At 45.1% G+C, this 24,164-nt stretch overlaps 1 protein-coding gene across 2 annotated transcripts, besides 5 other annotated features; it reads right to left on the bottom strand.

Annotated features, from left to right (window-relative positions):
* CDKN2AIP (CDKN2A interacting protein) lies at positions 632–5,060 on the bottom strand. 2 transcript variants are annotated; one of them, NM_017632.4, is made up of 3 exons: positions 4,627–5,060; positions 4,031–4,161; positions 632–3,608 (listed from the first exon to the last, which is right to left on the bottom strand). In NM_017632.4, exons 1-3 carry the CDS (start codon positions 4,896–4,898, stop codon positions 2,269–2,271), a joined length of 1,743 nt encoding a protein of 580 aa, NP_060102.1. In that variant the 5' UTR covers positions 4,899–5,060; the 3' UTR covers positions 632–2,268. The 2 variants fall into 2 exon arrangements, with proteins under 2 accessions (NP_060102.1, NP_001304272.1); NM_001317343.2 differs by having other exon boundaries at positions 4,062–4,161.
* Positions 4,606–4,755: an enhancer, noted in NCBI's record as "active region_22184". NCBI's record gives its function as "activates an Ori minimal core promoter by ATAC-STARR-seq in GM12878 lymphoblastoid cells {active_cell/tissue: GM12878}" and the evidence as "EXISTENCE:reporter gene assay evidence [ECO:0000049][PMID:35858748]".
* Positions 5,036–5,585: a silencer, noted in NCBI's record as "silent region_15827". NCBI's record gives its function as "represses an Ori minimal core promoter by ATAC-STARR-seq in GM12878 lymphoblastoid cells {active_cell/tissue: GM12878}" and the evidence as "EXISTENCE:reporter gene assay evidence [ECO:0000049][PMID:35858748]".
* Positions 10,500–11,699: an enhancer, noted in NCBI's record as "P300/CBP strongly-dependent group 1 enhancer chr4:184359150-184360349 (GRCh37/hg19 assembly coordinates)". NCBI's record gives its function as "activates an origin of replication core promoter dependent on BRD2, BRD4, P300/CBP, MED14 and CDK7 cofactors, with strong dependence on P300/CBP, by STARR-seq in HCT116 cells {active_cell/tissue: HCT116}" and the evidence as "EXISTENCE:reporter gene assay evidence [ECO:0000049][PMID:35650434]".
* Positions 18,190–18,940: an enhancer, noted in NCBI's record as "OCT4-NANOG-H3K27ac-H3K4me1 hESC enhancer chr4:184351909-184352659 (GRCh37/hg19 assembly coordinates)". NCBI's record gives its function as "activates a minimal SCP1, AML or CMV promoter by ChIP-STARR-seq in naive and primed H9 embryonic stem cells {active_cell/tissue: H9 hESC(naive and primed)}" and the evidence as "EXISTENCE:reporter gene assay evidence [ECO:0000049][PMID:30033119]".
* Positions 18,941–19,690: an enhancer, noted in NCBI's record as "OCT4-NANOG-H3K27ac hESC enhancer chr4:184351159-184351908 (GRCh37/hg19 assembly coordinates)". NCBI's record gives its function as "activates a minimal SCP1, AML or CMV promoter by ChIP-STARR-seq in naive H9 embryonic stem cells {active_cell/tissue: H9 hESC(naive)}" and the evidence as "EXISTENCE:reporter gene assay evidence [ECO:0000049][PMID:30033119]".

The following is a 24,164-nucleotide window of genomic DNA, read 5'->3' as shown; positions in this document are numbered from 1 at the left end:
GACTCATTTCAAGGAGGCTTTAGAAAGATGCGGTCACTTAATCTGGTAAAAAATCACGTTCTGGGAGGGATTTTCAGAAATTTCAGCATATAGAGAAGTGACAAGGATAATAAGCAGTACAACATACTTGAGCTTGGGTTTTGAAATCAGATATGGGCTTGAATTATCTGACCGAATTACTCTGTGTAAGTTTCTCCATCTGAAAAGTAGGCCAAATGAGAAGAGCTCCTTGTAAGAGGAATAAGAATATATAAGTGAACCATGGGATATCTGCACCATGCCGGGCACTTTGAATGTATCATCTCATCTAACTGCCATGCTCTATGAGACAGCTATTAGTCCTATTTCACAGACGAAGTAAGGTTAAAAGGTTAAATTCCCAGAGGTTACATGTCTAGTAAGAGACAGCCAAGATTCACTCTCAATAATAGAATTCTAAAATATGCATTTCTCTTAAACCAGGATTCTTTAAATGTTATTAACCAAGAGCATTTTTCTAGGTTTTTAAATAGGATTATCATAAATGTACACTAAACAACTTCCTCCACATCAAAAGTCACTATAAAACATTCTCAATAACCTTCATAGTAACTTGAAACAAGCCAATTTAGGAAATTACCAAACCACCTAATTGGATATATTATATAAATTTATTTGTTCGTTGTAATTTTTTGCTTTTCTGATAATCATTATCCCACAAAATACACATTCCAAGACTGAGGAAAGTGAGGTAACTAAAAGTGCTTTCACAATACATTCATGTTATTGTGTCCCGCAATCTATAAAGGCAACCCACTTACAGTATATGGATTTTAGCTTTGGTATCCAATTAAATATCCTCAAAAATGAATCATTTTTAAAGGTTATATGGTAAAATTAAAACATCTGATTATGTAATTATGTAATTCTAGCATAAAAAATTAAAGTATCTTTTTATTCCTAGAATACAAAATAGGAATAACTGCTACATACTTAAATTGTGCTTACGTTTGATTTTCCTATTCCAACACAACTGGCCCATGAAAGGTCTTTCTTTTCTCTCTATATTATCACCATTATTGCTCAATGGGCAGTATCTAAAAATAGAATCTAGAAAGCCAGAAACCACAAAAATAACATCTTGGGGCCAGTTTGAAGCAAAGTAAACAGAATATACAATGACAGACAAACAGGCAGAATCACCTAAGACGAAAACAAAATTCCACTTCATTTTAACGAATGTAGTTAAATTGAATAGGCTCATTATCAAGAGCTGAACACGGCTCTCTGTTCTTTCCGGTATTCTAAAAGATGCATAAACACAAAAACCATCCAGTTCTAGATTTGAAAATTGAAGGGAATCGCTTTTAATCTATTCTGGCTCAGGGGATTGCTGTAAAAAAAAAAATTAAATAAAGATGTATATCACACAATTACCTGGTTGTCTAATTTATAATGACAAGTCATGGGAAGCCTATTTGCAGGAATTGGTTCTGACTTGGAGAAAAAAAACACAACTTCTTGAAAAGGTAAAATAGCTTAAAGCATTTAATATCTAAACAAATCAATCTGTTAATAGTAGTCACAAAATATGCTTAATATAGAAACCCACATTCATGTTTTTAAGAAAAAAGTGTAAATTGTATTCCACCTCAAAACATAAATTAACCCGCTTAAAGAATCTTCAGCGGTCAAAGTCATGGTGAATTTTAAACAACTTCAGAGTAAAATAACAAGTACTTTATACTGCTTTATATCTAAAAAATGCTTACAACTTCTCATAAAAATAGTTTGAAGCAACTATTTTTTCTTTTATTTTTTAACAGACACGTTCAACATTACGGGCAACATTTTTAAAACCTTAAGCTTTACAGACTTTCAAACATTCAAATACTGTGGTCCCTTTCCTTTGATGTGGTTTATTCAGCTAGAAAAGAAAACATGGTAGACAACTTAATACATTTTCACCAAATTGAAAGTAGTACAAAAATTTTAGGACTCTACCGAACTACACATCGTACCTAATGTATCATTAAAAATAGAAGACAGTATTTTCTTCAGCAAATAAAACAGCATACTAATATGCTGCTAATGCATACCTTTTAATGTGTACTGTCATTCATAAATTATTTACAACTGCTACTGTGTGAAGAGAACTAGAATGTAAATTTTCTGCAAAACTGGAAAAAAAGCAATACAAAATTTGTGAAAGCCTGTGTTTTATACTATACAAAAGTCAGTTTTTCTCTTCAAATACCAGATATTGTATGCAGTGATATTTTGGACACATTATAGTAATTCTTGAGGATGTTTTAGTGCTGGAGGTAAGTTTACAGGCCTCGATTCTTCATCAAGGAGTACTAGATCTTCTATTTCACTGCCTCTGTATTTCCTTTTACATATTTTTACCACCACCTTTTTCTTGAGAAATAACTTCAATGCTTCTCTTGATGCAACTGCTTTTGCATTTTCTTTGCTTTTTCCACAGCCAGTGCCCAAATACACAGACTTGCACCTCAATTCACAAACAATACTTTCTTGAGAGCTCTTATTTTGAGGCAGATCTGCCAATTCTTTTAGTGGGACAAAAAATACATCCAGTGTTGCTTTCAGAGCCTCAATAGCTGCATTTAGGAGCTCTCCATGATTCACATTGGGACTAAAGCCACCAACAGCTACCAACTTCCATGCCACCGTTTTATATAGTCTATTGAAAAAAGGTTGCTTCTGTTTCACATCTTCATTGGTTAACTTGCAAGAGAATTTGACAGAACTCTCACTTGACTGTGAAGTACTTTTAGAAGGCAACTGTGAGGTGCTAGTCTGAGAACTACTCTTAGAAGCCAACTGGGACACACTTGCTAAGGAAGTGCTTTTGGAAACCAGAGATCCACTGGTCTGGGAGCTGCTCTTGGAAGCTAGTAGTGATGCAGCTACCTGGGAAGTGCTCTTGGAAGTTAGCAGCGATGTATTTGTTGAAGAGCTGCTCTTGGGAGTCAGTAAGGATGTGCCTGATGAGGAACTGTTTTTAGCAACTGATGATGAAACACTTGCCTCTGAACTAGTTTTGGAAGTTAACCCACTTGAAGCTGTCTCTGAACTAGGTTTGGAAGACAATAGTGGCAATTCTACCTCTGAGCTTCCTGAGGAGCCCAACAAGGGCACCTCGATCTCTGAGCTGCTTTGAGAAGCTGAGGCTGAAGAGCCTTCCAAAGCACTCTTTTTAGGTGATCCACTTTGTTGTCTAGAATCAGTGGATTGGGTCATGTGACTATTCACACTGGATTTCAGCAAGGAAACAAATGATGCAGAACCGTGTTTATCTGGAGCTTCTGCTTCAGAAGCTTTCCCAGATCCTGCCGTTGTTACCTGAGAGGAAACGCTGCTGCTGCTTTGGCTGGAAACAGATCGATCTCCATCACTTGTAGAGCTATTCTGACTGGAGATGCCAGAGCTCCGAGCTGAGTTCCCACTCTCTGATTTGATGGCCGACCCTATACACGTTGAACTGTTTTCCTGCTGAGCTGATGCACGTTCTGTCTTGGCAGAGGTTTTTGCGTGATCTTGCTCAACTGCAGAACTGTTTTTTCCTTCTATAACTCGTTTTTTGGATGGCTCTTCTACCCCTTCTAAAAAGAAGAAAAACATAGATATGTGACTAAGAATACCTCGTACAAAACGGGTGATGAGACAAATACACATTAAAATAAAGGCACAAAGTGAAAACATTTCAAGACTAATCGTTTCTTTAAAAAGTGTGGAGTCATTAATTTCTTAAAACAGTGTTGAATAACATCATGAATGTCTAATATTAAAAAAATAACAGCATCAGACAACAGTGGACACTTCAAAATCTAAAGCAGTCAAAGCAAACTATCAAATTCAAAGCCTAAAGACACAGATATATACTTTAGGTTTAACATTCCAACTTTATTACTTATTAATAACATAAAAATTCTGGCTTGTTAAAAAAATTAGTAACAATAATTCCTAATTATATCAAACTTATGCTCTAAACTCCTATGTATGTTCACATCTATGATCTGCTAACCATTGCTACTCGATATCCCTCTTTTCTTCACCTTGGCAACCAGTTCATCTCTTGTTGTATAGGTTGGAGCATCTGTCACTTTGATGCCTTCAGCCATACTAAGTATTTTATCCATAACTTTTTGAGGGTATCTGAAAAAGAAGGAAAAGTCATTTTTAAAAAGTGTTTTTTCTAAGGTCCTACTTGTGCAAAAAACAGGCCACAGGGACTGCATTTCCTGGCTGCAATCAAGAAAGTGAACCAACCGCCAAGAACTGTTTCCTGGAACCCCATAAACAAGTGCCCCAGGGTCTGGGAGGCAGGGCACCTCCTCACTAATCTTAAATCTCGCACCCGTCCCCAAGAGCGTTGTTCCCTAACACAAGCAACCCTACCAGCAGCTGCGCCCACACCACCGGGCACACAGACGTCCGGGAATCATGTCGGCTCCTCGCAGGGACGCCCTTCTCCCCCTTAGAGGGCAGCCGGGCCGGCGGATTCCCGCGCTTCACAACTTCCCCTCCCCGCCGAGGCCGGTCCCGCGGAGGGCGCCGGGCCCCGGTCTGCAGGTGGCACACAAAACGAGGCGTGCTGGTTAGGGACGCTGCCTCACTCACCGGCACCCGAGGAAGACGTGGTTCGCCCAGGCCATGGAAAAGGAGATGAGCTGCTGCAGCTGCCGGTTTCGGGTCCCGCTCTCGGCGTCGGCAGCTTCATCCGTGCTAGCGGAGGCAGCGCCGCCAGCGGGGGCCAGGTCCCCGGCGTTGCGAAGCAAAAAATCCCGGCGGTGGCGCCAGTGTTTGTCAGTCTCGCCGTCGCAGCGCAGCGCCTCCACCCAGGCTGCCACCCGCGGGTTCTGGCTCAGGTACTCCGACACCTCCTGCGCCATGTTGGGCCTGCAGGCCGCGAACACAGCTGCACCGGGAGACAGGCAGGACTAGCGGGGCGAGCGGCCCTGTCACTGCGGCCTGCACCCGCGGCCCTCCAGATAACGCCCCTCCGCAGGCCTAAAGACCAAACAACAGCGCCCAGAGCCGCCGAACCGCCCACTTCCGCCCACCGCCGGCTTCTTCCCTTTTATAACCTCGCCGCCGCCGCGCGCCCTCGCGTTCTTCCGGCGCGAGCCGGCGCTCCCAAGACGCTTTGCGGCGCCGGGGCCGCTGCGACGCTGCGTCCCCGTGAGGCCACGGAGGGCACCCCGGGGGTGAGGTGGGCGGGCGTCGGGCGTCTCCCGCCCCACGAGGGCGGACTGCAAGTCGAGCTGGCCTGGGACGACCGAGTCTCGGCGGAACCCCGGGCGTTCTGTCCTCGCTTTGTGACGCCGCGCGCTCCTGCCGTCCTCCTCCCCCGCCGGGTCAGCTGCGGCGCCGGGAGCAGAGGCGAGAGGGGCAGGGCCCGGGCAAGGGAGGCAGCCGGGCGCGGCGGCCAAAGTCCGCTAGGGGGGCGTCCCGGGGGACCTTGAGCCGCCCGCAGCCGCGGGGCCTGTGGTCTCCGCCCTGAGACGCCTGTGTGTGAGCGGGGCCAAAACAAACAAAAGCCGGCCTCCATGTTAGAGTGTTGGGAGCTGCGTCTCGCGCTGCTTTCAGTGTGCCCGAGCGAAGCGTTCCGAGGCCGTCGGGGTCTCCGCGCCTTCAGGAGGGCGGGAGTGCCAGTCCCCTTACATAGCAGCAGTAGACAGTAAGGTCACACGAGGACCTGGCTCCGTGTTGCCGTGAGGCTTGCAGCCTTCGAAGCTGGCCCTGGCCCCGCAGCGGTAGGGCTTGTTCCCGCAGTTTATTAGGTCTCTAGTTAATCCAGGCATTGCCTTCCTGTTCTGGTCAGTAGGAAAACAACACCCCGACAACGCTCTGTCTCTAGAATTTCCTAAAATCAACAGCTTTACCACCAACCGGCAGATGTCCGGAGGTGGAGTGGAAATGTACCTATTTATCTATAGGGCCCCAAACCTCTCTCCCTGTTAGAGCTGTTTTTTCCTTCTATATATTTTTTTCCACTTTACATTTCCCACAGTTACGTACTCTAACTGCTGGCTGGCTTATTGTTACGTTTCCCATTCCAGGTATACATGCACTGTAAGATAAATACGTTAAATGATATAAATTATGAAATTTTTCTTTCAATAAATGTAGACTTTGATGTAAAAATGCATGAATCAGAATAAGCAAGCAAAAAAAGGTCACTTTAGGTAAGATCAGATAAGGTTAACTGTGTAATTTATGTGCATGCTGGAACAAAATACAGCTATTGTATGAAAACAATATTGCCCATTTTCCTGCCATACCAAAAGAAACTACATAAAAACGGAGGCACAAAGAAATTTTGAAGCTTTGTGATTTTGCTTCTAGTTTGCTGTTCTTTCCTCCTTTTCACAGATAATTGCTGAAAATCTAGAGGGGGTGGACGGATTGCAGAAATCTGGCTATTTAAAAGGTGGAGAAATTACGATTTCTCCTTTCATGAATTCTTTGGCAAGGGGACCATGGCAAGTAAAAGAAGCTATGATCGCATACCTAGATTATATATGTGCATTTTAAATCAAGAATGTTCTCACGGCCAGGTGCAGTGGCTCACGCCTGTAATCCCAGCACCTTGGGAGGCCGAGGCGGACGAATCATGAGGTCAGGAGTTCGAGACCAGCCTGGCCAATGTAGTGAAACCCCATCTCTACTAAAAATACAAAAGTTAGCCAAGTGTGGTGGCACGTGCCTGTAGTCCCAGCTACTCTGTAGGCCGAGGCGGGAGAATCGCTTGAACTCAGGAGGCAGAGGTTGCAGTGAGCCGAGACCAAGCCATTGCACTCCAGCCTGGGTGACAGAGTGAGACTTCATCTCAAAAAATAATAATAATAATGTTCTCACTTTTTTTCTTGTTGCCCTGTAGTCTTCTTCCCACTCATGGGCTTCATTGCCTTGAAAGGAGAACAAGTAGAGCCTGAATTTCAAACAATTTTTTTAATTATAATAAAAGCGATAGAGTCTGAAAGATGGAGTACTTGTGCAAAAACCAGGTGCTTGGAATAAAAGATACATGCATTTTTCTTTTTTGATTCTTAAAAAGTTGACTTTGCATATAAAGATTCAAAGACTATGAACCACAAGTAGCTGGGACTGCAGGCGGGTACCACGACGACAGGCTAATTTTTTATTTTTTTGTAGAAACAAGGTTTCACTGTTGTCCAGGCTGGTTTTGAACTCCTAATATCAAGCAATTCTTCTGCCTCGGCCTCTCAAAGTGCTGGGATTATAGGCATGAGTCGCTGTGCCCGGCCTCATTTTTTTTTAAAGACCCTCCCACCTACAGAGACAAATTCCTCTCTAAGCTGGGGGAGACGTTCTGAGAGAAAAGGTGAGAGGAGAATTTAGGTGATAACTAGGAAAGTCTATGGGAGTAGGGAATAAGATGCAGGGTGGGAAGTGTTGGCTGTTAGAAATTGCTAGGTAGATTTTGGGTCTAAGAGCAGAAGGACTTGGCTCTGCCCGAGTTTCTGAGAGAAGACAGCCCAATCGTGCCCTGAGCCTGTATGCGTTGGCCTTTAGAAATGAACATAGAAAGGGCCTTTTATAGCTTTGATAACCAACTATACAACTCCCTCCTCTGCTCCTAACACACGTGTGTATATATATATACATATGTGTGTGTGTATATATACATAACACACACACACGCATTTACGCACATATATCTCACAGGGCCTAGAGGAGATCCAAAAGGTTCCCAAGAAAGAGTTGAATGGTGAAGTGCCTACCAAGCACCAGGGTCCAAGGTGAATGAGGCTAGGGGTGGTCAGCTTGTCAGCAAAGGGAGATGCAGCTAGTTTTCAGCAAGTCATCAGACCAGTGCCCGTCAGGCCGCATCAATAGGAGAGGACCCTCAACCTCTCCTGAAATGATCAGTGTGCATTGCTTGTGCTGGTAGATCAAGCAGTTATACTCCCAGCAGAGCCCACAGGGAAGAAAGCACAAGACAATGCTAGGATGATAACCAAGCCTCACCCCACCACTGCCCTCACTAGAAATCTACTCAGAGGAGAAAAGGGAGAGAATTCTAATGAATTGAGAAAGATCCACTATCATCCCAAATTGAGTTTCAAACAAGTGACTGAGTTCACAGGATTAAATTTTCTGCTGTAAGTGGAAGCCCATTCACTGAAACTGGTTCTGTAGCATATCTCTCTGAAGACATCCAATAAAAATTCCAGCGGCAAGCTGGCTTTTCTGCAGATGGCTTTCCCATGGAGCAACATGAAGGGATTGCCCCTGTTCCTGGATGTGACTGTGGAAGCAAGAAAGCCTTTGGCAGGAAGGTCTGCATGTGGAGAGGCTTGTGAGGAGCAAATACTCCAGTTATGGCCAAGGTTATGACTTGATGTGAGAAATACTTCATGGTGAGGGGAAATATTTTATGCTAATGATGTGTGAGGACACAAATCTGCCAAATTACAGTGATAAGGTGGGATGTTCTGAAAAAGTAAGAGAATGTTTTAAGAGTGATCCCCTCTGTTAGAAGCTTTGAGAAATCAAGTAGGATGAAGATAGGTAGTAACAGTCTGATTACGGACTGGAGCCACCTGTGAGCTTGGCAAAAGCCGTTTTTACTGCAGTGATGAAGACTCCATATCAGAGTGAGTTCAGGAGTCGGAAATGGAGATATTTGGCTGTAAAGGGGAGAAGATAGAGGAAGCTGGACAGGGTCATGGGGTCAAGGTGGCTTCAATTTCAGATGGGAGTAGCCTGAGCATGTTGCCCACTGCTTGAAGGCAACTCACAGAAAAGGAGAGTTTGAGGATCTGAAGAAAAAGAGGGTAATTAGCAATTTCTGCAGACATAGGTGTGGCTGGGATCCACACACAGGTGGAGAGATTAACCTTAGGTGGGCAGACACTTCCTCTGTTTTAAAAGAAGACGTTTGTAAGTTTGGAGCTGAGACGTTGACATGGAGGCCATCTGATGGTGCAGAGAATGCTCGCAATGGATATTTTAGAGGGCAGAAGAGCAGGCTGCCTAGATGAACATAGTCTTTTTGGCCAATTTAAAATTACAGGCTGGGCGTGGTGGCTCACACCTGTAATCCTAACACTTTGGGAGGCCAAGGTGGGCAGATTACTTGAGCCCAGGGGTTCAAGGCCAGCCTAGTCTACATGGCAAGACCCTGTCTCTACAAAAAATACAAAACATAGTTGGGTGTGTTGGTACATACCTCTAGTTCCAGCTACTCAAGAGGCTAAGGTGGGAGGATCACTTGAGCCCACGAGGTCGAGGTTGCAGTGAGTTGTGATCGCACCGCTGCACTCCAGCCTGGGCGATAAAGGGAGACTGTCTCAAAAATTAAAATAAAATAAAAATATAATGTGTGCACACAAAAATGAAACATCTAAGTAGAAAAAAAGAGGCATAAATGAAAGCAAACAATCTCCCTCACTCAACCTGGTCCCACTCTGTGGACATCAGCATTCATGTCATTTCTATCTTGATTTCTTTGGGTGATTATTTTCATAACTCCAAATTAAATGCTTATACTTCCATTTCTTATTTTTTCAACTTTAAGCAGTACTTATTTCACTCCTGAATGTTGAAGCTGAGAAATCCATATCATTTACACTACCCCTTTTTTCTCCTAATTTTTGTTATCTTTTATTGTTTTCCCGTTGGCTACCTGTCATAAATTCAAATATTATACTTAATCATCATTTTTAAATCTATCAACTTCAGGCAGGTAGCTCTTGATTTCCACATCATGTAAGAAAATTCTGGAGAGACCATATTACAGATATTTAGATATTCCCAAAATATGCGTTCAGGATAAAATCTAATCTCTAGTGATAAATCGACAGCAGATGGATAATTCTGAAGTTTTCCTACTTACCTGCAGGATTTATGCCATTGTTTTTACATTAAGCCTTAACATTAATAAATGTTAATAAATTTGTTTGCTGCTGTGAGGATTAAGTAGATTGCGAAGTTATATCTTTCATGGGGGTGAGTTTCTAAAACCAGCATGTAAATGGAAGTCAGATGTGACTCCACTTTACCTTCTTTTCCTGTAGTGTCGCAATTGACCTCTACGCGGTGGCTCATGCCTGTAATCCCAGCACTTTGGGAGGCTGAGGCGGGTGGATCACCTGAGGTCAGGAGTTCAAGACCAGCCTGGCCAACATGGTGAAACCCCGTCTCTACTAAAAAAATACAAAAATTAGCCGGGAGTGGTGGCGGGCGCCTGTAATCCCAGCTACTTGGGAGGCTGAGGCAGAGAATTGCATGAACCAGGGAGGCGGAGGTTTCAGTGAGCCAAGATCGCACCACTGCACTCCAGCCTGGGTGACAGAGTGAGACTCCATCTCAAAAAAACAAAAACAAAAACGAAAAAACAGAAAGGCCCCTTGGGCATCTACTGATGTGAAGTTAGAGAACTATGGACTTTCTCTACAGGTTCACAGATTTTCGTTTGATTAATTTCGGTTGCTAGTGACAAAAAATTATGATTTAAAATGGCTTGTGCTGAAACAAAAAGGGAATTTATTGGCTGTGTTATTCAGAGTCCCGAGGGGGACTCTCCCCCGACTGTGGGATCCAGGTACTGAAACAATATAGTCAGGAAACCTGTTTCTCTTGTCTCTACAGTCTCAGGCAAGCTCTTCCTACGGAGTGGCAAAATGCTTCCTATTAGCTCACAGCATACGTTCTTCATAGCTCAGCAACTTCAGTAGCAAGAGAGCTTCTCTTTCCTGGTAGTTTCTGCCAGCGTCCTAAGGTTCTGTTGGGAGTTCTTTTGTCCTGTTGAGTCATATATCCCTTACATAAACACTATCCAGGTGTATGAAATGACTGTACAGGTCTGAGTCATGCACTCGCCCTAAGAATGATAAAATATCTGAGTAAGGTCAGTATCATGCAAGGAAAATAACAAACTCAATAAATAAAAGAATTTACACTCAAGGAAATGGAGATAAAACAATATGAATAGAAGGATGGCCAAATACCAGAAAAGATGTTAAAGAAACGATAGTAGTAAGCAGGTTTAAATGACACAAGGCAATTCTAAGAGGCACTGCTGTCAGGATGGCTTCCATTTTAGCCAAAGTGAAAAACCTTTTTATACCAATTTTTACATTTTTATATGCTGTTTCGTAGAGCCTTAAGGAAGACAATTTCATCTTTTTAGTCTTCATGTTCCTCCTCATGCCGACAAGGTGAGATATTATTATATTTTATTTTCCCATCCCTTTGTGAAGCTCTACACCTATCCCTCATCCCAGAATGTGGGGGATTTAAATCTACGAGAGAGATGGAGATCAGAGAAGAGTTGGTATTTGGAGAACTGCAGTTCAACTTCCCATAAACCAATAAACTTGATCCTGATTCTTCAGAATCATGGAAAATTTAAGCTGGAGGAGGACCTTAGAGATTGCATTTATTTCGTAGACAAAGAAACCTAGGTTCAGAGTGGTTAACTTACTGTCCAAGCTGATTATTGTCCAATGATTAACTCACAAGGTGTGGTGACTGAAAGATAAATAAGAACTGAGCTAAGACTTGTTAAATCCAGGCCAGGTACAGTGGCTTACGCCTGTAATCCCAACACTCTGAGAGGCCAAGGCAGGCAGATCAGAGGTCAGGAGTTTGAGACCAGCTTGACCAACATGGTGAAACCCCGTCTTTACTAAAAATACAAAAATTAGCCAGGCATAGTCGTGCGCACCTGTAATCCCAGCTACTCAGGAGGCTGAAGCAGGAGAATTGCTTGAACCCAGGAGGCGGAGATTGCAGTGAGCTGAGATCGCGCCACTGCACTCCAGCCTGGGCAACAGAGTGAGATTGTATCTCAAAAGAAAAAAAAAAAAAGACTTGTTAAATCAAAAAACTAAGATTATGACCACAATAATCCACTTAATTGTTGGGCCCTTTGGGAATTAGGAGCAGGAAGGATAAAAAAAAAATTGTGCTTCTTTGTACCCAGGGCTCCAGTTCATCAATGTGTGATTGCCTTGTAAATGTGAGCAGCCAAGGAAGCAGAAAGGAATGTTCCTGGAGGGATCTAGAAAGCCAGAGGAAAGAACAGCATAGAGCTTAATTTAGTGATCAAAAATATAGACTTGGGAGTCAGACATTCCTGAGTTGGAATTCTGGTTCTGCTAATTACCATCATTGTGTCCATGGGCAAATTATTTCACTTTTCTAAGTCTTCGTTTCCTTACCTGTAAAAGGGGATACCAGCACCTATGAATCATAAGAAATAAACGAGATGATGTCTATAAAGGCACATAGTTTAAATCCAATTAATGAACTTTAGAAACATTTTAGGTTTTATTTGGTAATATTGACAAAGTTTAATAATTGTTTGTTGTTTATGCAGAGAACATTTTTTTTCAAATAAATTCTGAGTATGGTAGGTACAAATCTCTGTCCATAATTTCAAGGTGTGTAAACAAATGTAGCTACAGTATTTTCCTCTGATTAAATTTTTGTTCTTTTCTTTTTTTTTTTTTTTTTTTGAGACAGAGTCTTGCTCTCTCGCTAGCCTGGAGTGCAGTGTCACAATCTCGGCTCACTGCAACCTCTGCCTCCTGGGTTCAAGCAATTCTCCTGCCTCAGCCTCCCTGGTAGCTGGGATTACAAGTGCACACCACCATGCCCGGCTGATTTTTTGTATTTTTAGTAGAGAACAGGGTTTCACCACATTGGCCAGGCTGGTGTCAAACTCCTGAACTCAGGTGATCCACCCACCTCGGCCTCCCAAAGTGCTGGGATTACAGGAGTGAGCCACGGCGCCCGGCCTAAATTTGTTTTCTATTTTAAGGTCCCATCCTACCAAATGGTGGAAACTTAATTTCAGTCACCTGAAGATTTTACTTCCTTCTGTACGAATTTGAGTATCCATTCCAGGGAGCTGACACAGTGCTGAGGCACAAAGGCAGGGTCAGGGACAAGGTGAGGCGCTCCCAGGCATCCCCTGAAATAGCCATCTTCCCACCAGGTTTTGGCCCACAAAGGCCACTGCTGCTTCCTCCTCATCCCTGTAGCAGCGCCTCTTTAGGTCAGGTGACTCTCCCTGCTGTGCTCATGCCCCTCTCAGGCACGGGTGAACATTCCATCGCCTACTGCACTGTGCTGGGGAGCACAGGTTCTCTCTGAGGCCCTCTCAGTCCACTTGCCCACACATGGCACACTGTCATTTCTAGTCTACTCCTCTGTGCCGTGCCAGGGAGAAGGGATGGATGCTCCAGATCTTGCAGCTTCGCTGGCTTCTGCTGGGAATGGGCATGGCCACCTTACTCATGGGTCCCCCAAACCTTTTAAAATTGCCATCATCCTTCCCCACCTCTCTGCTTCCCTTTCTCCCCGCACCACCCGCCCCCCCCCCCCCGCCCCACCCCACCGCCGCGTCCCCGCTGGCCAGTTGCAATTCGGCCTTGGAGGTACAGGTAGGCAGGACAAGGGGCCTCTCTTCTGGGAACCATACCAGCAGTCGAATTCCCTAGCTTCCCTCCTCACCCTTCAAGTTTTCCTTTCCATTGGATAATTTCTTATCTGGATATGAGGTAGCCTGGGTCTTCATTTGTCCTCCGAAACCTGTTATTATGCCCATAAAAGCCAGGGCATTGCTTCTCCTGCCTTCTCTTCTCTGCTGCATCTTGTAAAAGGCAATGGCCATAGAACTCCCACGCCTCGAGCAGAGGCAGAAGCAGGCAGAGGCAGTTTTAAAGGTTAGAGCCGCCCCCGGAATCCCCTGAGGAAATGAGGGAAGGAGCATCCTTAGCCATATCTGCCAAAGCCCCCTTAGGTATTAATACTACAGGCTGATTTTTAATTTTTCATAAGCAATTTCTTTAACCTTATAGAATAGATAGAGCAGCCTTGTGGAAAATTTGCAAGCTAATAAAGAATATGTGGATCAGGCCGGGCACGGTGGGTCACTCCTGTAATCCCAGCACTTTGGGAGGCCGAGGCAGGCGGATCACCTGAGGTCAGGAGTTCAAAACCAGCCTGACCAATACGGTGAAACCCCATCTCTACTAAAAATACAAAAATTAGTGGGTGTGGTGGCATGTGCCTCTAATCCCAGCTACTTGGGAGGCTGAGACAGGAGAATTGCTTGAACCCGGGAGGCGGAGGTAGAGGAGAGCCAAGATCACACCACTGCACTCCAGCCTGGGTGACAGAGCAAGGCTCCATCTAAAACAAAACAAAACAAAACAAAAACACAAAAAAACCAATACATGGATCAATGTAGTCATTCCTGCAAAGATCTTATGATTAGCTCCCTACCAAGGACTGCACCGATGAGGCCAAGGTTATAAAATATAATGGGGGAGAAATGAAGCAAAGGCGAAGAAAAGTGCTCAGCAAGTGGCCTAAACAGGAAGAATGTGCTGACAATCTTTGATGGGCCACCAAAGACAATATTTTAAAATCCCATTTTCGTCTCTTCTCCCCTTTATGCGACAGTTGGTTGAATAAGGATAAGTTTTTAAAAACCTCAATTAATTTTAAGAAAGGAAACAAAGTAAACGTTTTTCTTCCCACCAGGGAAGACAATTTTGATGTTAAACACCTCATTGATAGTGGTAATACTATGCAGTCAATTTTAAAAACGAGAACAAAAGCAGTGTTTTATTTCTCACTAGGGAAGGCAGTTTTAAACACCTTATTGAGGGTTGTACTGCCAGGCTCATTTGGGACTTGATAATAACTGCTCTTGACAAGACAATACTGAAAACACAGGGTGAAACCTACCAGCACTCAGACGAGTTTTCACTCCACCTACTAGCAAAGGCACATTTTCTCTGTTTCCTGAAAGGAGTGTTAGAGGGCAGTGCCATCCAATTATTTCCACAATGCCAAGTCTCATGGAAATGAATGCAGGAGCTTACGCGGTTGACTTCAGTGAGACTCAGTGTGGTAAAAATGGATTCCCCAGGGCTTTGATACAGAATGAAGAGTGGGGGATGTCTATTCACATTCATTTATTTTTCCAATCTAGAGTTTAAGAGGAGGAGAACACTCCTTTTATCACTGCCACCTGAAACTAGAACCAGAAAGGAAGGGAAAAGAACACGGTTATATCACCCCCAAGGCTGTGAATTTACTTCTTATCGTGGGGGAAGGCCTCTGGTGGCACATTTTAGTAAGCAAGTAGGTAGAGTCATACACTGTGGCCGAAGGCTTCAGCTTAGACTCACGAGAGGAGCTTGATGTGTGTGGACTGTCCCGCTGCTCACTGGGCGTTGGCCTGGCCTCAGTGGCCCTGGGTCATAGTATTGTGGACTTAGCATCACCATTGTGTGTCCGGAATTGGTGGGTTCTTGGTCTCACTGACTTCAAGAATGAAGCCGTCGACCCTCGCGGTGAGTGTTACAGCTCTTAAGGTGGCGCGTCTGGAGTTTGTTCCTTCTGATGTTCGGATGTGTTCGGAGTTTCTTCCTTCTGGTGGGCTCGTGGTCTAGCTGGCTCAGGAGTGAAGCTGCAGACCTTTGCGGTGAGTGTTACAGCTCATAAAAGCAGTGTGGACCCAAAGAGTGAGCAGCAGCAAGATTTATTGCAAAGAGCGAAAGAACAAACCTTCCACAGTGTGGAAGGGGACCCCAGCAGGTTGCCACTGCTGGCTGGAGCAGCCTGCTTTTATTCTCTTATCTGACCCCACCCACATCCTGCTGATTGGTAGAGCCGAGTGGTCTGTTTTGACAGGGTGCTGATTGGTGCGTTTACAATCCCTGAGCTAGATACAAAGGTTCTGCACATCCCAATTAGATTAGTTAGCTACAGAGTTTCAACACAAAGGTTCTCCAAGGCCCCCCCAGAGCAACTAGATACAGAGTGTCGATTGGTGCACTCACAAACCTTGAGCTAAACACAGGGTGCTGATTGGTGTGTTTACAAACCTTGAGCTAGATACAGAGTGCCCATTGGTGTATTTACAATCCCTGAGCTAGACATAAAGATTCTCCAAGGCCCCACCAGAGCAGCTAGATACAGAGTGTCGATTGATGCACTCACAAACCCTGAGCTAGACACAGGGTGCCGATTGGTGTGTTTACAATCCCTGAGCTAGACATAAAGACTCTCCATGTCCCCACCAGACTCAGGAGTCCAGCTGGCTTCACCCAGTGGATCCTGCACCGGGGCTGCAGGTGGAGCTGCCTGCCAGTCCCTCGCCATGCGCTCGCACTCCTCAGCCCTTGGGCTGTTGATGGGACTGGGCACCATGGAGCAGGGGGCGGTGCTCGTTGGGGAGGCTCGGGCCGCACAGGAGCCCATGGAGCGGGTGGGAGGCTCAGGCATGGCGGGCTGCAGGTCCTGAGCCCTGCCCCGAGGGAAGGCAGCCAAGGCCCGGTGAGAAATCGAGCGCAGCGCTGGTGGGCTGGCACTGCTGGGGGACCCAGTACACCCTCCGCAGCCACTGGCCCGGGTGCTAAGCCCCTCACTGCCCGGGCCGGCAGGGCCAAGCCCACGCCCACCCGGAACTCCAGGTGGCCCGCAAGCGCCACGCGCAGCCCCGGTTCCCGCTGGCACCTCTCCCTCCACACCTCCCTGCAAGCTGAGGGAGAGGGCTCTGGCCTTGGCCAGCCCAGAAAGGGGCTCCCACAGTGCAGCGGTGGGCTGAAGGGCTCCTCAAGTGCTGCCAAAGTGGGAGTCCAGGCAGAGGAGGCGCCGAGAGCAAGCGAGGGCTCTGAGGACTGCCAGCACGCTGTCACCTCTCAATTGGTTGTCTTTCAAGACAGAGATCATATATGCTTGAGTTACTGGTTCAGAGAGAGGAGATGTAATATACCCATTGGGGGATTGGGGGAAGAACTATTAGAAAAAAACTGAAAGTAATTCAAATCTAATTACTCAATTCTAAACATTTCAATTCTCTTATAACAGGGGTCCCCCCGCCACTACCTCCAACCCTGGGCCACACGGCAGGTGGTGAGCAGCTGGCAAGTGAGCAAAGCTTCATCTGTCTTTACGGCCACTTCCCATTGCTCGCATGACCACCTGAGCTCCACCTCCTGTCAGATCAGACAGGAGCGTTGGATTCTCACAGGAGTGAGAACCTTACTGTGAACTGTGCATGTGAGGGATCTGGGGTGTGTGCTCCTTATGAGAATCTAATGCCTGATGATCTGTCACTGTCTCCCATCACCCAGATGGGACCATCTAGTTGTAGAAAACAAACTCAGGGATCCCACTGATTCTACCTTATGGTAAGTGTATAATTATTTCATTATATATTACAATGTAATCATAATAGAAATAAAGTGCGCAACAAACATCATGTGCTTGAATCATCCTGAAACCACCCGCCGACCCCCCTTCCATGGAAAAAGTGTCTTCCATGAAACCGGTCCCTGGTGCCAAAAAAGTGGGGGACTGCTGTCTTACGACATCATAGATTCATGGAATTCTTTTATAGGCAGGTTCCTTGGGGGTAACTGAAGCTGTTTCCTCGTTTTTAGGAAATTTAGGAAAGACTAGGAAATTGAGGCTCAGAGAGGCCATTTAGCAGTGACTAACACAATTTCCAGGTCAGTATTGTTTCTACGAGCCCTGGTCTCCAGAAGAGAAAAGGCTAGTCAGGACTACCACTTGAAGTCCCCTAGTCGGATACAAAGAAAGGATCCAGGATCCAAGTTGATTTACAGTTAAACTCACTTGGGGAATTCACAATGCTTAAAAGGCAAGAAGAAAACAACGCAAGACTGTACATACCACAGTATGAAAAATCTTAACCACATAGCAGCACCTCCTTCAGAGCCACACTGGCCACTGCTGTGCGACTCCCTCCCCTGGCCTCCCCCTCACCCCGAGGTTTCAGCATGGAGACCCACGTAGGCCCATGGGGAGAGCTGTGTGGAGCTTGGGAACTGTATTTAGTCTCCTTCCTTCTGGGGCCTTTTACATTTAAAAATGCAATTTCGGCCGGCGCAGTGGCTCATGCCTATAATCACAGCACTTTGGGAGGCCAAGGTGGGCGTGTCACCTAGGTCAGCCGTTCAAGACCAGCCTGGCCAACATGGCGAAACCCCATCTCTACTAAAAATATACATATATTTTTACACACATATATATATACACACACACTCAAAAATTAGCCAGGTGCGGTGGTGCGTGCGCGTGTAATCCCAGCTACTTGGGAGGCTGAGGCAGGAGAATCACTTGAACCCGGGAGGTGGAGGTTGCAGTGAGCCGAGATGGTACCATTGCACTCCAGCCTGGGCAACTGAGTGAGGCTGTCTCAAAAAAAAAAAAAGAAAAGAAAAGAAAAAGAGAGAGAGAAATGCAATTTTATTCTTACGACTTTCTGGAAGCAAGAATGTGATTTTGAACATTCTAAAGAAAATTTTTATAAAGGAATGTGAGAAAGCAACAAGATAATGTTGGCTGCTGTGGTATTAAAATTCTTAAAAAGTAAAAGCACTGTAGAAATATAAGGTATATCATTCTACTTATTTTGTTCCAGAATAATATGCATGATATTAGGTTAGCTTTTTCCATAGGAGGCCATTTTTTTCTGGGTATGGTGATACCACTCTCGATGAAGCTGAGCATGAGCCTCAGTAGCTTCGAGTGTGAATATAACCTTTTTGTGAACTCTGTCACATTACTGAGTATAGAATCTGCTCCTGGATGTTTTAGTTTCTCCCAGGGTTAGCGAGAGACTTTCATTTCTTCTTTGTGCTTTCCTCACTCTCAGGAATCACAGGGAAGCTGTGATTGTTCTAGGCGTTAGTTCTTTATTAGTGCTCAATCTGCTTAACACTCCTCTTGTGTGCCGCCTTTGAAGTCTCAAGAAATCTCCTGCCTGGCAGGAAGTGCCAGAGGCCCAAACAGTGCAAAGGAAATCACACCCATGGCGGCCTCTCCAAAGTGCAGGCCTGGGGCTCAGTCCATTTCTCCTGGTCGTTCTCACAGTTCTGGATTCAGAAGGGAGGAGAGAGGCAGTGGGGGGCGCTATGCATTCCTAAGGGATTGCATTCGAGTCTGCTGACCAGGCCCTGAGCTCCCCTGAGGCCAGTAAACCTCTGGCCGGTAAACCCCTGCTCCTGGGGGGCTGAGAAAGCCGTCCTTCTTGGTGCAGACCCTACCCAGCCCTATGTCTTAAGAGTCCCTTCTCTCTGCTGTCCCACAGTCAAGCCAGCCCTGCTCTGCCTGCTCTGCCCTGCCCATGGAGAAAAGCTTCCAAGCCTACGAGGATCTCCTTCTCACCATGCCAGCTGTTTGACCTCAAGGGAGTTACTTAACCTTTCTGAGCCTTGCTTACTTCATCTGTAAAATGGGACAACAGTGGTGACTACCTCTTAGGATTGTTGTGAGGATAAAACGAGATAATCCAAAAACTGGCCAGGTGTTGTGGCATACGCCTGTAGTCCCAGCTACTCGAGAGGCTGAGGTGAGAGGATCGCTTGAGCCCAGGTGGTCGAGGCTGCAGTGCATCTTGATTGCACCACTGTACTCCAGCCTGGGCGACAGAGTGAGACCCTGTCTCAAAATAAATATAAAAAATAAATTTAAAAATGAGATAATCCTTATAAATATCTCAGCATCTTGCCTAGCATTTTGTGGATGTTTGATAAATGCTGCTACTATTAATAATAAACCATTTTTATTAGATTAAGGAATGTGTATTGACAAGAGCTGGACTTAGGAGATCACAGTGAGAAAGAAAACAAACACCTAGAACATTTGCGAAAGAAGAAATCCTTGGTGAAGGGTGTGGCCCGAGTGGTTGTGCTTTTCTCCTGTTTGTTTCACCGTTAACGTTTGTCACATGTGAATTCTTACAGCCCTCAGTGTGTCTGTGTCTATACATTTCCTTGACCTCTTCCTAAATGGTTGAAGCAGGCTGACCAAAGAGAATGGATTTGTGTTCTTGTCCCCCTTCGTCTGATAACAGTTCCTGATTTCCCCAGGATTCTGCTCCTTTCCCTCTGGCAGTCCCTGTGGTCTGTATGGGGCTGGCCCCAATCACTGGATCCAGCGGACACGTCACCCAGGCCTGGCCACTGAAAGCCAATTGTGAGACTTTTGCTGGAGCAACCAGGAAAAGAATGTGTGTATCCTTTGGATGCATAGAATGCAGAGCATGGATTGCAATCGTGAAGGAGCAGGTAGCTCCAGAACCCAGAAATGGAGAGAGCGAGGGTCAGTCCTCAGCATCTGCTCTGTGCAGGCACCGGGATTCAGCAGTGAACAAGTCTCGGTCCTTGTGAAGCTCTGGTGAAGAAAACATCAAGACATAGTGATAGGTGGGTGGGTGGATGGGTGGGGTACATGGATGGGTGGATGCACGCATGGATGGACATGTAGACCTATAGATCATTCTGGTAGTGATACGTTCTATTAAGGAGAAAGGAACAGAATAAGAACACATTAGGGGCCGGGCGCAGCGGCTCACACCTGTAATCCCAGCACTTTGGGAGGCCGAGACAGGTGGATCATCTGAGGTCAGTGGTTCGAGACCAGGCTGACCAACATGGCGAAAACCCCGTCTCTACTAAAAATACAAAAATTTTTATGGTGGCGGACTCCTGTAATCCCAGCTACTTGGGAAGCTGAGGCGGGGAGAATCGCTTGAACTGGGAGGCGGAGGTTGCAGTGACCCGAGATCGCGCCACTGCACTCCAGCCTGCGTGACAAGAGCAAAACTCCGTCACAGAAAAAAGCAACACATTAGGGCAGTACTGTTTTAGATAGTATCATTAATGATCCTATTGACCTAAAGAAAGAAATTGAGGCAAAATTAATATAAGTAGAGAGTTTATTTGAGCCAAATTTGAGGACTGCAACCTGGGAGACACAGATTGCAGTTGCCTTGAATTTATGCTCTGATTAGCAGCAATTGCCAGTAAGTTTTTAAAGAAAAAAAGAAGGGGCAGTTCTTACATTGGTTCATAAAATAACATGAAAATAAGCTACTGATTCGCTACACATTGTTCTTTGTATCACAAATTCTAGGAACAAGAAGATGATGGGTGAGGGTCACATTATATAACTTGTAATAACTTTTTTTTATTATTATGGGATATGATGAAGTTATTAAAAAGAACAAGCCGTTGTGTATGTACTCTTGTTCTGGATACATTACTTATTTATTTATTTTTATACTCAGAGATGGAGTCTTGCTCTGTCACCCAGGCTGGAGTGCAGTGGCGTGTTCTCGGCTCACCTCTACCTCTGCCTCCTGAGTTCAAGCAATTCTCCTGTCTCAGCCTCCCGAGTAGCTGGGATTACAGGTGTGCACCATCATGCCCAGCTAATTTTTCTGGGCCTGATACATTTTGCATCTTTTGCGTAGGATTGCTTTGAGTTACTTTTCTTTCTCACACCAGTGAACTCCTTTTTTGTTAAAGCTAGTTTTGGGTGGATTTCTGCCACTTGCAACCAAAGGATTTCTCATTGACATTCTGTATAGCCAGGATTTTAAAACTACGTTTTGGCTGGGCGCGGTGGCTCACGTCTTTAATCCCAGCACTTTGGGAGGCCGAGGAGGGCAGATCACCTGGGGTCAGGAGTTCGAGACCAGCCTGACCAACATGGCGAAACCCTGTCTCTACTAAAAATACAAAAATTAGCCAGGCGTGGTGGTGGGTGCCTGTAATCCCAGCTACTCGGGAGGCTGATGCAGGAGAATCGCTTGAACCCGGGAGGCGGAGGTTGCAGTGAGCCAAGATCACACCACTGCATTCCAGCCTGGGTGACAGAGTGAGACCCTGTCTTAAAAATAAAAAAAAAAAAAAAGCAAGTCATAGAAGAGGACTAGAAAATGGCAAATAAATATGTGAAAAGATGTTAAGCTTTACTAGTAATCACGTAAACACAAACCAAAACAACAGTGGGATAACTTCTTTTGCTTATCAGATTATCAAGCTTTAAAAGTTTTGCCTGCAGGCTGGGTGTGGTGGCTCACACCTGTAATCCCAGCACTTTGGGAGGCCGAGGCAGGCGGATCACGAGGTCAGGAGATCGAGACCATCCTGGCTAACACAGTGAAACCCTGTCTCTACTAAAAATACAAAAAATTAGCCTGGTGTGGTGGCGGGTGCCTGTAGTCCCAGCTTCTGGGGAGGCTGAGGCAGGAGAATGGCGTGAACCTGGGAGGCGGAGCTTGCAGTGAGCTGAGATCGCGCAACTGCACTCCAGCCTGGGTGACAGAGCAAAACTCTGTCTAAAAAAAAAAAAAAAAAAAAAAAAAGTTTTGCCTGCATCTCAGCCAGGCATGGTGGCTCACACCTGTAATCCCAGCACTTTGGGAGGATAAGGCGGGTGGATCACCTGAGGTCAAGAGTTTGAGACCAGCCTGGCCAACATGGTGAAACTCCATGTCTACTAAAAAAATGCAAAAATTAGCCTGGTATGGTGGCAAGCACCTGTAATTCCAGCTACTCAGGAGGCTGAGTCAGGAGAATTGCTCGAACCTGGGAAGCAGAGGTTGCAGTGAGCTGAGGTTGAGCCACCGCACACCAGCCTGGGCAACAGAGCAAGACTCCGTCCCCCACCCCCCGCCCCCCCCCCCAAAAAAAAAAAGTCTTGCCCTCATCCATGTTAGTGAGTAGGGAAATAGATCCTCTCATTCACTGTTGCTGGGATTCAATTACTGAAGCCTTTGTTGAAAGTATCTATCAGTGTTTATTAAAAATGTTTAAATGCATGTACCTTTCAATATAGCAATTTTACTTCTGGAAATTTATCTGACAGAAATAAGAGCAAGATGTTTTCTGATATCCATCCACCCTGCCTTCCTCAGTAACAGAGGAACCTATGATGCTGAGCTGGGCAAATGGTCACCTGGAATAATGTCATTTCCCAGCACACGTTATAGTTAGGTTTGATCTTGCACTGCCGTTCTAGGCAATACAATATACTTCCTGGAAGTAGCAGCTTCCAGGAAGTAACCTCTAAAAGGAGGAGTAATGCTCCCTGGGACTTGTTTCTTTCTTCCTCCTGTAATACAGGCTGCTGGCTGGAGCTCTGGCAGCAAGATGGGCCATGTGGGGACTTCGGAGTGGAAGCTGTGAAGGGCAGAGACGGCAAGGTAGCAGGAGCTTGAGCCCCGAATCCAGGGAGCTCCAGATCAGTTCTGACCTGACCTCCTCCAGACTTCTTGAACATAAGACAGTGAAATATCTATCTTGGCAACAAACGTGAAAAAAATGTTCAATATCACCAATCATCAGGGAAATGCAAATGAAAACCACAGTGAGATACCATTTTACTCCAGTCAGAATGGCACTTATTAAAAAGTTTTTAAAGAAAGAATTTGGCACAGATGTGGTGAAAAGGGAACACTTAGACACTATTGGTGGGGATGTAAATTAGTACAACCTCTATGGAAAACGGTATGGAGATTTCTCAAGGAACTAAAAGTAGACCAACCTACCATTCAATCCAGCAATCCCACTACTGGGCATCAACCCAAAGAAAAATAAGTCATTATGTCAAAAGACACTTGCATGCATATGTTTACTGCAGCACAATTCACAGTTGCAATGATATCAAACCAACCCAGGGACCCACTGACCAATGAATGAATACAGAAAATGTGGTATATGTATACCATGGAATACTACTCGGCCGTAAAAAAGAGTGAAATCATGTCTTTTGCAGCACTTTGGATGGAACTAGAGGCCAGTATCCTAAGTGAAGCAGCTCCAAAATGGAAAACCAAGTACCAGATGTTCTCGCTTATAAGTGGGAGCTAAGCTATGGGTCTGCAAAGGCATACAGAGTGGTATGACGGACACTGAGGACACAGGAGGGGGAGGGGGGGAGGGGGTGAGGAATAAGGAATCACCTGTTGGGTACAATGTACACTATTCCTGGGAAGGGTGCACTAAAAACTCAGACTCCACCACTACACAATTCATCCGCGTAACCAAAAACCACTGGTACCCCTAAAACTATTGAAATAAAAATAAATGAATGCAAATATTTAAAAAATCTGTCTTGGCTAAGCCACAATTATTTGGGTCATTCTTTTACTCTCCAAGCCCAGTCCTAACTAATTCGAGTGCATAAAGATTGAGGGTTGGCCCTCCATATCCCTGGATTCTGCATCCATGGATTCTACCAACCTCAGATGGAGTTTTTTTTTTTTTAATGGTGATTGTGTCTGAACTGAACATATACAGATTTTTTTCTTGTCATTATTCCCTGAACAAAACAGTATAACAGTAATT

Source organism: Homo sapiens, chromosome 4 (genome assembly GCF_000001405.40).
Source record: "Homo sapiens chromosome 4, GRCh38.p14 Primary Assembly".
In the NCBI taxonomy this organism is placed as follows: domain Eukaryota; kingdom Metazoa; phylum Chordata; class Mammalia; order Primates; family Hominidae; genus Homo; species Homo sapiens.
The sequence above is the reverse complement of the archived record's forward strand: the minus strand, read 5'-3'. Positions and strand labels throughout refer to the sequence as shown.